The following is a 13,872-nucleotide window of genomic DNA, read 5'->3' on the forward strand; positions in this document are numbered from 1 at the left end:
CAGGAGATTTGCTTGAACCAAGGAGGCGGAGGTTGCAGTGGGCCAAGATCACGCCACTGCACTCCAACCTGGCAACAGAGCAAGACTCCTTCTCAAAAAAGAAAAAAAAATTCTGAAAAAATCAACAGGATACATCTCAGAAAAGCTGGCAATTCTTTGGTGGAAAGTAAGTTGCATACTTATCCAAGCTGCCCAAATGATTATCAAGGCAAGTTTGTTTTTCAAAAATAGGTTTTAACATAAATTAAATAAACTATACAGATATTCCCTAACAGTACAAAATTTTAACAATGAAATTAAAGTATATAGCAAAGCCAAATATGACAATACACATGACTAATTTATAAAGTAAGCCTTTCAATCCTAGAAATCTAAAATGGGGAGAACGTACTGAAGGGTAGCATACATAAAATGAGGACAAATATCAAGGAACAATCTTAAACATTTTCCCAATGACTGACTAAGCCTCAAAAAGACAGCTTAGGAAAAGGATTAATACGTATTTTTTCTTTTTATCCTAGCCAATTCAGTCCTACTTAGATAAATCTGGTTACTAATCAATGCATATATAAATTAGAGGAATTTTTTTCTACTCGATTACTACCATATTTTCCTCTTTCACCTTTTCCCTAATTTTGTCTAGCAACACTTTTCCTTTGGTTTGATCAGTTGAATCCAAAAGTTTTGGTGCCTAAAATGAGTATCAACTCTTATTGAAATAGCATTTGGGAAACGCAGTCCTAATGAAGGCAAATATTCAACCGAGGTGGTTTGACAGAGTTAAATATCCATCTCAATATGACAAATGTCTCCCAGGTTCATCACTGGGTTAATGGCTGCTGTTAGCTAGATACACGCCCCTGCATAGTGGAATGCTCCCTGGTGAGGTACTGCAGAGCTATTGTGCACAAACACCCTCCAATTTAAGCTTTCAATAAATACAAAGCATCATTTTAAACCACTTCAGTAGAATAAATAAAAAATATTGTCTTTCTATTGGCCTGCTTTGCTTCTTGAGCTGGCTTGGAGTGCTGTTTGTGACATAGAAGACACAATAGTTCATTAGTGGCTACTCCAAGCTCTTTAGACGTCAGCACTTACTGTTCTTCAAGCCTCAGAACTTTTTTGCAACAGTAATGGTATTCTTCATTAGCATCGCCACCGTCATGAGGCCAACACCTCCAGGAAGTGGCATGATGTAACCGGCTTTTTATCTGACTCCTTCAAAACCCACGTCTCCAACCAATTTGGGTTGAGCAGTTACGGGATCTTGAACTCTAGTTATTCCCACATCAACAACTGCTGTTCTTTCCTTGATTATATCTATTGTGAACAGGTTTAGAATTCGTGCAGCGGATGTTACAATATCTGCAAATATTTTGTTTCTTCAACTGCTCTTTGGGAGTATATCCATGAGATATTCTAACGGTGGCATCATCTCTGGGACGTTCATGCACCCCACGTATGTGCAGTGACATTACAATGGGCATTCCAACAATTTTTGACCTTCCAGTCACAACCACATTCTTCCCTAGGGTTGGAATGTCAGTTCGCTTAATTATTTCCCACACACCCCATGGGGTAGCCGGTAACATGGAATATTGGTCCAAACACTTTCGTCCTACATTCATTACAGGAAAGCCATCAACATCCTTGTCTGGAGAAAAAGCATTGCAGATCTTTCTCTCATCAGTGTGCTCTGGAAGAGGCAGCTGAACAAGGTGGCCATCTAATTATCTAATTATCAACATTACTCAGTTTATTTATTAACTTCAACAATTCTTCCTCAGAAATTGAAGCTGGTTTCACAATTGTCTCACTGGTGATTCCAAAATGCCGTGCTGTGGAAGGTGCGAGAGCGCGGGCGGCAGCTCTGCGGGGGACAGAGCAGTTGGGCAGCCAACGCAGACATGAGGGAAGCCACAGCCATAGCCTATGCCTGGAAGGAGGAAATTTAACTTAGAGGCAAATGTGTAACAGTTCCAAAAATACCGCTTCCTAAGTTAAATCAATCTACTGACTGTGTCAACTCAGTAGCATTAACATTAAATTTAAATAGGCATTTGATAAATTAAAATCAACTGTTTATTAATATCAGCAAAGCATTCCTCAAAGTTTTCTTAGAAAAAAAGTAGTTTTGCAGCCAATTTACATGACACTGTCAATTACAATAAACACCTTCTACATATTTATCCTGTTAGAGGAATATGTTATTATCATAGATTTGTATTGTGAAAAATTTCAATTTCTACTAAATTTAGCTTCATATTAGTTAACATATATTGTGATATTGGTGAGAAAGCATAAATCACTTGAATTTCGGGGGGTCTTAACTATCGAATATTGGCATGCATTTCTCTTGTTTCAAGGAAATATTTAATTGGAAATTACAGTACAGAAAATCTGTGTGAAACTTTTTGCCATTCAAACAACAATCATTGGTAGAGAACACAGTATCATTAAGTTAATTGGCTGGGCACGATGGCTCAGGCCTGTAATCCCAGCACTCTGAGAGGCTGAGAAGGGTGGATCACTTGAGGCCAGGAGTTCGAGGCCAGCCTGGCCAATATGGTGAAACCCCATCTCTACCAAAAATACAAAAATTAGCCGGGCATGGTGGCACATGCCTGTAATCCTAACTACTAGGGTGGCTGAGGCAAGATAATCGCTTAAACTGGGAGGCAGAGATTGCAGAAAACTGAGATTGCCCCACTGCACTCCAGCCTGGGTGACAGAGTGAGACTCTGTCTCAAAAAGAACCCCAAAAATGTTAATTGACTGCCTTCTTTTTCTTTCAAAATTTGCATAACCTGTTGATGATTTATACACTTGCATACACATATTAAATGGTTTTAACAACTGAACATCCATGAAACTTTTCATTAAGTTTGATCAGAAAATGTATGGATATTTTCAGTGTGTTTCTAATAGCAGAACAAAATGTGAAGAGGAATGCAGTCTGTTTTAGAATTCTAATTAATAGAAAATTTTGTCTAGTTGGAGCTGAGGACCAACCGTTGTGATAGAAAATAACATCTTTATATCTAGCAGATTATCTTCTTTGACATATGTGAATGACATAATATATGACAAAAGTTGAATAAGCCACAAATTGACAGCATTTCTTTGCAAAAATTGAAATAAAACATAACCGATGTATTAATTGAAGAGTGCTTTTTATTTCATGTTTCATTTTAGGCTAAAGAAAAATACTTATATTATTTCAATATTCGAATCAATTGATTTTTGATATTAGTAGAAAGATCTTGTATACTATAGACAATTGTTTGATAGCTTTTTGAGACCTTTTGTTTTGTAAAATATTATTTTCTGGTCTTTTCCTGATAAGTTTTTGAAAAGTTTGAAAAGTTTTCCACACCTGAAATAATAACAATTTTTTTATTATTATTATTACACTTTAAGTGTTAGGGTACATGTGCACATTGTGCAGGTTAGTTACATATGTATACCTGTGCCATGCTGGTGCGCTGCACCCACTAACTCGTCATCTACCATTAGGTATATCTCCCAATGCTATCCCTTCCCCCTCCCCCCACCCCACAACAGTCCCCAGAGTGTGATGTTCCCCTTCCCGTGTCCATGTGTTCTCATTGTTCAATTCCCACCTATGAGTGAGAATATTCTGTGTTTGGTTTTTTGTTCTTGCGATAGTTTACTGAGAATGATGATTTCCAATTTCATACATGTCCCTACAAAGGACATGAACTCATCATTTTCTGTGGCTGCTTAGTATTCCATGGTGTATATGTGCCACATTTTCTTAATCCAGTCTATCATTGTTGGACATTTGGGTTGGTTCCAAGTCTTTGCTATTGTGAATAATGCCACAATAAACATACATGTGCATGTGTCTTTATAGCAGCATGATTTACAGTCCTTTGGGTATATACCCAGTAATGGGATGGCTGGGTCAATTTGTATTTCTAGTTCTAGATCCCTGAGGAATCGCCACACTGACTTCCACAATGGTTGAACTAGTTTACAGTCCCACCAACAGTGTAAAACTGTTCCTATTTCTCCACATCCTCTCCAGCACCTGTTGTTTCCTGACTTTTTAATGATTGCCATTCTAATTGGTGTGAGATGGTATCTCGTTGTGGTTTTGATTTGCATTTCTCTGATGGCCAGTGATGATGAGCATTTTTCATGTGTTTTTTGGCTGCATAAATGTCTTCTTTTGAGAAGTGTCTGTTCATGTCCTTCGCCCACTTTTTGATGGGGTTGTTTGTTTTTTTCTTGTATATTTGTTTGAGTTCATTGTAGATTATGGATATTAGCCCTTTGTCAGATGAGCAGGTTGTGAAAATTTTCTCCCATTTTGTAGGTTGCCTGTTCACTCTGCTGGTAGTTTCTTTTGCTGTGCAGAAGCTCTTTAGTTTAATTAGATCCCATTTGTCAATTTTGGCTTTCGTTGCCATTGCTTTTGGTGTTTTAGACATGAAGTCCTTGCCCATGCTTATGTCCTGAAGGGTATTGCCTAGGTTTTCTTCTAGGGTTTTTATGGGTTTAGGTCTAATGTTTAAGTCTTTAATCCATCTTGAATTGATTTTTGTATAAGGTGTAAGGAAGGGATCCAGTTTCAGCTTTCTACATATGGCTAGCCTGTTTTCCCAACACCATTTATTAAATAGGGAATCCTTTCCCCATTGCTTGTTTTTCTCAGGTTTTTCAAAGATCAGATAGTTGTAGATATGCGGCATTATTTCTGAGGGCTCTGTTCTGTTCCATTGATCTATATTTCTGTTTTGGTACCAGTACCATGCTGTTTTTGTTACTGTAGCCTTGTAGTATAGTTTGAAGTCAGGTAGTGTGATGCCTCCAGCTTTGTTCTTTCGGCTTAGTATTGACTTAGCGATGCTGGCTCTTTTTTGGTTCCATATGAACTTTAAAGTAGTTTTTCCAATTCTGTGAAGAAAGTCATTGGTAGCTTGATGGGGATGGCATTGAATCTGTAAATTACCTTGGGCAGTATGGCCATTTTCATAATATTGATTCTTCCTACCCATGAGCATGGAATGTTCTTCCATTTGTTTGTATCCTCTTTTATTTCCTTGAGCAGTGGTTTGCAGTTCTCCTTGAAGAGGTCCTTCACATCCCTTGTAAGTTGGATTCCTAGGTATTTTATTCTCTTTGAAGCAATTGTGAATGGGAGTTTACCCATGATTTGGCTCTCTGTTTGTCTGTTGTTAGTGTATAAGAATGCTTGTGATTTTTGTACATTGATTTTGTATCCTGAGACTTTGCTGAAGTTGCTTATCAGCTTAAGGAGATTTTGGTCTGAGACAATGGGGTTTTCTAGATATACAATCATGTCGTCTGCAAACAGGGACAATTTGACTTCCTCTTTTCCTAGTTGAATACCCTTTATTTCCTTCTCCTGCCTAATTGCCATGGCCAGAACTTCCAACACTATGTTGAATAGGAGTGGTGAGAGAGGGCATCCCTGTCTTGTGCCAGTTTTCAAAGGCAATGATTCCAGTTTTTGACCATTCAGTATGATATTGGCTGTGGGTTTGTCATAAATAGCTCTTATTATTTTGAAATACATCCCATCAATACCTAATTTATTGAGAGTTTTTAGCATGAAGGGTTGTTGAATTTTGTCAAAGGCCTTTTCTGCATCTATTGAGATAATCATGTGGTTTTTGTCTTTGGTTCTGTTTATATGCTGGATTACATTTATTGACTTGCATATATTGAACCAGCCTTGCATCCCAGGGATGAAGCCCACTTGATCATGGTGGATAAGCTTTTTGATGTGCTGCTGGATTTGGTTTGCCAGTATTTTATTGAGGATTTTTGCATCAATGTTCATCAAGGATATTGGTCTAAAATTCTCTTTTTTGGTTGTGTCTCTGCCCGGCTTTGGTATCAGAATGATGCTGGCCTCATAAAATGAGTTAGGGAGGATTCCCTCTTTTTCTATTGCTTGGAATAGTTTCAGAAGGAATGGTACCAGTTCCTCCTTGTACCTCTGGTAGAATTCGGCTGTGAATCCATCTGGTCCTGGACTCTTTTTGGTTGGTAAGCTATTGACTATTGCCACAATTTCAGATCCTGTTTTTGGTCTATTCAGAGATTCAACTTCTTCCTGGTTTAGTCTTGGGAAAGTGTATTTGTCAAGGAATTTATCCATTTCTTCTAGATTTTCTAGTTTATTTGCATAGAAGTTTTTGTAGTATTCTCTGATGGTAGTTTGTATTTCTGTGGGATCGGTAGTGATATCCCCTTTATCATTTTTTCTTGCATCTATTTGATTCTTCTCTCTTTTTTTCTTCATTAGTCTTGCTAGCAGTCTATCAATTTTGTTGATCCTTTCAAAAAACCAGTTCCTGGCTTCATTAATTTTTTGAAGGGTTTTTTGTGTCTCTATTTCCTTCAGTTCTGCTCTGATTTTAGTTACTTCTTGCCTTCTGCTAGCTTTTGAATGTGTTTGCTCTTGGTTTTCTAGTTCTTTTAATTGTGATGCTAGGGTGTCAATTTTGGATCTTTCCTGCTTTCTCTTGTGGGCATTTAGTGCTATAAATTTCCCTCTACACACTGCTTTGAAGGCATCCCAGAGATTCTGGTATGTTGTGTCTTTGTTCTCATTGGTTTCAAAGAACATCTTTATTTCTGCCTTCATTTCGTTATGTACCCAGTAGTCATTCAGGAGCAGGTTGTTCAGTTTCCATGTAGTTGAGCGGTTTTGAGTGAGATTCTTAATCATGAGTTCTAGTTTGATTGCACTGTGGTCTGAGAGATAGTTTGTTATAATTTCTGTCCTTTTACATTTACTGAGGAGAGCTTTACTTCCAAGTATGTGGTCAATTTTGGAATTGGTGTGGTGTGGTGTGGTGCTGAAAAAAATGTATATTCTGTTGATTTGGGGTGGAGAGTTCTGTAGATGTCTATTAGGTCCGCTTGGTGCAGAGCTGAGTTCAATTCCTAGGTATCCTTATTGACTTTCAGTCTCGTTGATCTGTCTAATGTTGACAGTGGGGTGTTAAAGTCTCCCATTATTAATGTGTGGGAGTCTGAGTCTCTTTGTAGGTCACTCAGGACTTGCTTTATGAATCTGGGTGCTCCTGTATTGGGTGCATATATATTTAGGATAGTTAGCTCTTCTTGTTGAATTGATCCCTTTACCATTATGTAATGGCCTTCTTTGTCTCTTTTGATCTTTGTTGGTTTAAAGTCTGTTTTATTGGGGACTAGGATTGCAACCCCTGCCTTTTTTTGTTTTCCATTGGCTAGGTAGATCTTCCTCCATCCTTTTATTTTGAGCCTATGTGTGTCTCTGCACGTGAGATGGGTTTCCTGAATATAGCACACTGATGGGTCTTGACTCTTTATCCAATTTGCCAGTCTGTGTCTTTTAATTGGAGCATTTAGTCCATTTACATTTAAAGTTAATATTATTATGTGTGAATTTGATCCTGTCATTATGATGTTAGCTGGTTATTTTGCTCATTAGTTGATGCAGTTTCTTCCTAGTCTTGATGGTCTTTACATTTTGCTATGATTTTGCAGCGGCTGGTACCGGTTGTTCCTTTCCATGTTTAGCGCTTCCTTCAGGAGCTCTTTTACGGCAGGCCTGGTGGTGACAAAATCTCTCAGCATTTGCTTGTCTCTAAAGTATTTTATTTCTCCTTCACTTATGAAGCTTAGTTTGGCTGGATATGAAATTCTGGGTTGAAAATTCTTTCCTTTAAGAATGTTGAATATTGGCTCCCAGTCTCTTCTGGCTTGTAGGGTTTCTGCCGAGAGATCCGCTGTTAGTCTGATGGGCTTCCCTTTGAGGGTAACCCGACCTTTCTCTCTGGCTGCCCTTAACATTTTTTCCTTCATTTCAACTTTGGTGAATCTGACAATTATGTGTCTTGGAGTTGCTCTTCTCGAGGAGTATCTTTGTGGCGTTCTCTGTATTTCCTGAATCTGAATGTTGGCCTGCCTTGCTAGATTGGGGAAGTTCTCCTGGATAATATCCTGCAGAGTGTTTTCCAACTTGGTTCCATTCTCCCCGTCACTTTCAGGTACACCAATCAGACGTAGATTTGGTCTTTTCACATAGTCCCATATTTCTTGGAGGCTTTGCTCGTTTCTTTTTATTCTTTTTTCTCTAAACTTCCCTTCTCACTTCATTTCATTCATTTCATCTTCCATCGCTGATACCCTTTCTTCTAGTTGATTGCATTGGCTCCTGAGGCTTCTGCATTCTTCACGTAGTTCTCCAGCCTTGGTTTTCAGCTCCAACAGCTCCTTTAAGCACTTCTCTGTATTGGTTATTCTAGTTACACATTCTTCTAAATATTTTTCAAAGTTTTCAATTTCTTTGCCTTTGGTTTGAATGTCCTCCCATAGCTCGGAGTAATTTGATCGTCTGAAGCCTTCTTCTCTCAGCTCGTCAAAGTCATTCTCCGTCCACCTTTGTTCCGTTGCTGGTGAGGAACTGCGTTCCTTTGGAGGAGGAGAGGCGCTCTGCTTTTTAGAGTTTTCAGTTTTTCTGCTCTGTTTTTTCCCCATCTTTGTGGTTTTATCTACTTTTGGTCTTTGATGATGGTGATGTAGAGATGGGTTTTTGGTGTGGATGTCCTTTCTGTTTGTTAGTTTTCCTTCTAACAGACAGGACCCTCAGTTGCAGGTCTGTTGGAGTACCCGGCTGTGTGAGGTGTCAGTCTGCCCCTGCTGGGGGGTGCCTCCCAGTTAGGCTGCTCATGTGTCAGGGGTCAGGGACCCACTTGAGGAGTCAGTCTTCCCATTCTCAGATCTCCAGCTGCATGCTGGGAGAACCACTGCTCTCTTCAAAGCTGTCAGACAGGGACATTTAAGTCTGCAGAGGATACTGCTGTCTTTTTGTTTGTGTGTGCCCTGCCCCCAGAGGTGGAGCCTACAGAGGCAGGCAGGCCTCCTTGAGCTGTGGTGGGCTCCACCCAGTTCGAGCTTCCCAGCTGCTTTGTTTATCTAAGCAAGCCTGGGCAATGGCAGGCACCCCTCCCGCAGCCTCGCTGCCACCTTGCAGTTTGATCTCAGACTGCTGTGCTAGCAATCAGTGAGACTCCATGGGCGTAGCATCCTACGAGCCAGGTGTGGGATATAATCTCCTGATGCGCCGTTTTTTAAGCCCATCAGAAAAGCACAGTATTCGGGTGGAAGTGACCCAATTTTCCAGGTGCCGTCTGTCGCCCCTTTCTTTGACTAGGAAAGGGAACTCCCTGACCCCTTGCACTTCCCAAGTGAGGCAATGCCTCGCCCTGCTTTGGCTCACGCACGATGCACGCACCCACTGACCCACGCCCAATGTCTGGCACTCCCTAGTGAGATGAACCCGGTACCTCAGATGGAAATGCAGAAATCACCTGTCTTCTGCGTCCCTCATGCTGAGAGCTGTAGACCGGAGCTGTTCCTATTTGGCCATCTTGGTTCCGATCCCTACCTGAAATAATAACTTATTTCAGGTATAATAATTTATTTAACCACCACTTCACCTAAAACCTTACACACAGAGCCTGAATAGAATTTTATTTAAACACTATTTAAAAATAAGTTAAAAATAATTTTGTGCATGAAACAAAGTTGCATACATTAAAACATGAGAAAGCAAAAGTGTCTATCTCAGCTACCGATCTGGATCACTTCTGGTTATTTGACATCCCCATCATTCCTGACTGAATTTTTATGCTATAGATAAGCAATTATTTTCTTATACATATTCAGACATAAGTACTTAACAGTAAGAAATATGACATGCCATTAAGACAGTGGAAAAATAACGTGTCAGGTGTGGAATTTTCCACTCGTGGTGTTATGTTGGCATTCAAAAACTTCAGATTTTGGAGAATTTTAGATTTCACATTTTTAGATTAGGGATGCTCAATCTGTACTAGCTTCTGTATCCCCACTCAATTCTGTAGCAGAAATAAGGTTTGTTTTAAATTTATAAATGTGACCATACTTTTTTACTTCAATGAGAAAAATAATTTAATTTGAAAGAAAATAAGTATAAGAAACACTTTAAAGTACTTAGTACTTACAATTGCATTATCAAAATCTGAGAATTTACATAGATATCACTCTAATCTGCTATGTGAAATGTTCAAATACACACATTACAACATTAAATCATTGTGTTGAAAAGATTCATTTAAACTGAAACAATACAATGACATTTTCTAGAAGAGTGATGTATTTATGTGTAATACCAGAAACTGCTTATGCATCTGCCACATGAACTACAACTATAAAATCTGGCAGAATGCAATGATCAAAGTGAAATGTAGCTATACCAAACCAATAAACTTGTGTTTAATCAAAAACTTATTTTACACAATTTGTTTTCAAATTTAAATAGTCAATTCAATAATATAAATTGAAAATTCCATTTTTCCATTGAACTGGCTACATTTCATGTGCTCAATATCAACTTACACCTAGTGACTAATATATTGAACAACACAGCTTTAGAGTAATGATACACATAAGTAGACATGCAAGATATCATTTTATAAATTAAATAGAGATGATTGCCAAGTTATGTTGCCCTACTCACTAGAGTCACTTTTTAAATTCTTTTTCATTTGTTTTATAATCAAATACAGTTATTTTCACATGTTTGATATCAGACTCAGTCTTTGCTTTGCTTAGTCACTTTCGGAGATGATAAAGTATATATATTGGCATATGTTCTAAAAATCCATTGACACAAAGCACATCAAAATGCATAGAAAAATTCTTTGGAGACAGATACACCATAAGATGGGTTTATTATTTTGGAAAATCCAGTCAAAGCTTGGATTTGGAATTGATTTGGAAAGTAAATCCAAGGCTAGGTATGTGAGTCATGTAAGATGACACTATAGTCATTATACTGACTGAAGGGATCACATTCATTTCTTTCCAAAATGTAATATTTTGTATACAAAACCAACTGCAAATATTGAGACTTAGTATCTAGAAAATACAAATGTAGCTGCTAAAGTGAGGTGGCTCGTTCTAGGAAATCAACTTAATAAGATGACAATTATATTATTACAACCTTAAGAGCTTTCCAAGAGAATAAGTCACTAACAAAGACTGAAAATGTAAAAACAGTTCCCTGATCATTTTTTTAGAAGTGAAATATTGAGAAACTTCATATTTCAATACAAATAATATGTGAACATCTTATTTTATATAGTCTACGTGTTCTCAATACTAAATACTAGTTCAAATTTTAAGACACAAACAGAGGATTTTAATACAACAGTTAGGTGCCTTCCCATTGAATTGATTCTCTGTATTTGCAGATTTTAAATAGCAGACTGATGGCAGAGAGGTTGAGAAAAGTGTTCTGCTTGCCTAAATTTATGATAAAACCAGTTCATAAAATTTACTTGTTTAAACTAATAAAAGTCAAGTAGTTTGGATAGTTGCAATAAGCAAAGTCCTCTCTTAGTAAATACTTGAATGGTAGCCTTCGACTTCATCTAGTTTGTATATTTTCACTTCTATTCACACAATGATTACCTGATAAGGCTATATTTAGGAAATATATTGCACTCTTTAAGGGAAAATTAACATTTATGAAAAGTATCCATTTGACTAAAGATCTTATGTGCTATGTATCAGGGAGTAATTTTGCATTTACAACACAGAATTTCCGCTCTAACGATGTTCCAAAACTATTCCACCATGGCCACCCTGCAACCATTCTCTCAGTCTACACTCCTTTCCATTCCTGGAGTTTCAGTCTTTTCTTTATAAAACAAATTGTTTAAAAATTGCCTGGAAAATTTGATATAAATGACTTTGTGATAGTATTAAGTTATATATATAAGAGCTCATGAGAGGACTTGGATATAAAAATATCCAAATGAGTATGAAAGTACAGCAAGACTGCAGCGTCTCATACTTTTGTATAAAACAAACTTTTTAAAGGAGAGCTTAACTTTTATATGTCTCACAAACTGTGGATAGGTGTTAACAAGAATACATTATTTTCAAAATCTGCAATAGTATAAAAGAGATGAATTTAAAAAGTCAAGGATGGCACTAGGTAGATAAGCAACCCAGATACAATAGGAAGGAATGAGACAAAATGTAAAAAACAACACTTACTAAGCTATTCAGTTATGTAAATGAAAAAAAGAACGTGTAAGGCTTCAATTCAAGTTTCTAGAAATGAATTGCCTAAAAGAGACAATGCATTTAAAGACCATTAAAAGAATATATAGCAAACAATATATGGCAACTAAACTTATTTTAATTATGAGGTATTATTTTTAAGAAGATTAAAAAGTCCATAGCTGGACTAGAAGATGTAAAGATAAAACTGGAAGAAAAATATTAGTGTTGGCAGATGTCAAATAACTGCATTTATTCAACCAGAACTGATCATCATTTAGAGTGAAATGATCAATTATTGGAGTAAAATGCATTTTGTTTGCAAGAGAAATAGAGATCATTCCACAAATTTGTCAAAATGTCAAAGTGTTTTTGAGAAAGTAACTGTAGCATTAAACAACTTCATGGAATTTAGAAATTAATGTATTTGACATAATTTTTCTGCTTTCTATCCACTGACTGCTGCTTGGCATGAGTGATGGCTAATGGATTAATTATAACCGTGAATTTAGGACAAAATCAAGTTTAATTGGCAAGATGACTTTCCTGGGTGTTTAAATCCCAAAACTGCATGCTTTGAAAAAAACAAAGTGGAACTTATTAACGAAACAATTGTGTTGCACAATTTGAAGAGGTTGTATATTTGGTATCATTTTTCTATAGATTACAATAAGCAATATACCATTCCATAGGTAGACTAAAATAAGAAATATATATAGGATATATATACACAAATGCACATACATACATACATACATATGGGGGAGCTTATAAAAAAAGATACGCTTTTATGCTTTCTCTATATTTCACAGCACATATTCCACTCTTACTATTTCTAATCCTTTTTCCACACTGTTAACTGAGAGGTGTGACTCATACAAGCCTGACCATATCTGTTCTACCAATGATATCACACTGCTTTTATGATAGAATCAAAATGCCTCTGTACCATTTGCTCAGTTTATCATTTTAGGCTACATGGATTATTTTTCACTTTACACGTATTACTTCAGTTTGCTGTTTATATTTGTCATACTGTTTCAGTTTATCTGATATTTCCTCTTTATCATCAGCATTTACTAATTCTTTCTTCTTGAAAGAGAGAGAAGGTAAAGCCATTTTCTCTCCCATCCTTCAACATTCCTGATCAATACCTAAACTTGTTCTACTTCTTATTTCCCTGTAGGGAGGTTCCTGATCACCGCCCCAGATGTGGTTTCTCTTCCATATGGGATGGTAACAATGTTTACTTCTTCCATTAAATACATTTTTCTGCTTAATCCTCTAGATTTTATGCTATATGGTTTTCTATGATTTGATCACCATTATATTTCCAAAAGAAGCACACTGCTTATTTTCAATAAATGCTTATATAACAAATAATGAATTTAAAAAATCACAATCCTAGAAGTCTCAGAAATATCTATTCAATTCTGGGGTTTTACTATCAAACTATGGGTAAGTAAAATAAAGCACAGCTAGATATTTTGAGGGTTAAGGAAATGAGTTTAGATAGATAAAACCACATTGTTTTAGTGACAACAGTAACATCTTTGTAGTCTATGAATCTTATGTTTTTCCAGTGATGATACCACTCAATTTTAAACACATGAACTTTACTATGTGTTTTTATTCTTCTGACATCTTTTATTTCTTTTTATGTGCAATTGTAGCAGAAGGTATCTAAAGAAATACCAAAAATGGAGAAGATACGTAAACTAGTAAATGCAGTATATCTGAAACAAAGCTAATAATATGAAAAGAGACCAT

At 36.9% G+C, this 13,872-nt stretch overlaps 1 pseudogene across 1 annotated transcript in view; it reads right to left on the reverse strand.

The window, feature by feature from the left end:
* Positions 1-514: 514 nt before the first annotated feature.
* The window catches only part of MTHFD2P1 (methylenetetrahydrofolate dehydrogenase (NADP+ dependent) 2, methenyltetrahydrofolate cyclohydrolase pseudogene 1), a 28,771-nt pseudogene continuing 15,413 nt past the window's right edge, over positions 515-13,872 (reverse strand). Inside the window, exons 4-5 of the transcript NR_077228.1 lie at positions 9,336-9,432; positions 515-1,939 (exon numbers count right to left, since the gene is read on the reverse strand). The product of NR_077228.1 is annotated as a methylenetetrahydrofolate dehydrogenase (NADP+ dependent) 2, methenyltetrahydrofolate cyclohydrolase pseudogene 1 (transcript). The remainder of the gene's footprint in view (positions 1,940-9,335; positions 9,433-13,872) is intronic.

The sequence above is a fragment of the Homo sapiens genome, chromosome 3 (assembly GCF_000001405.40).
Source record: "Homo sapiens chromosome 3, GRCh38.p14 Primary Assembly".
Classification (NCBI taxonomy): Eukaryota; Metazoa; Chordata; class Mammalia; order Primates; family Hominidae; genus Homo; species Homo sapiens.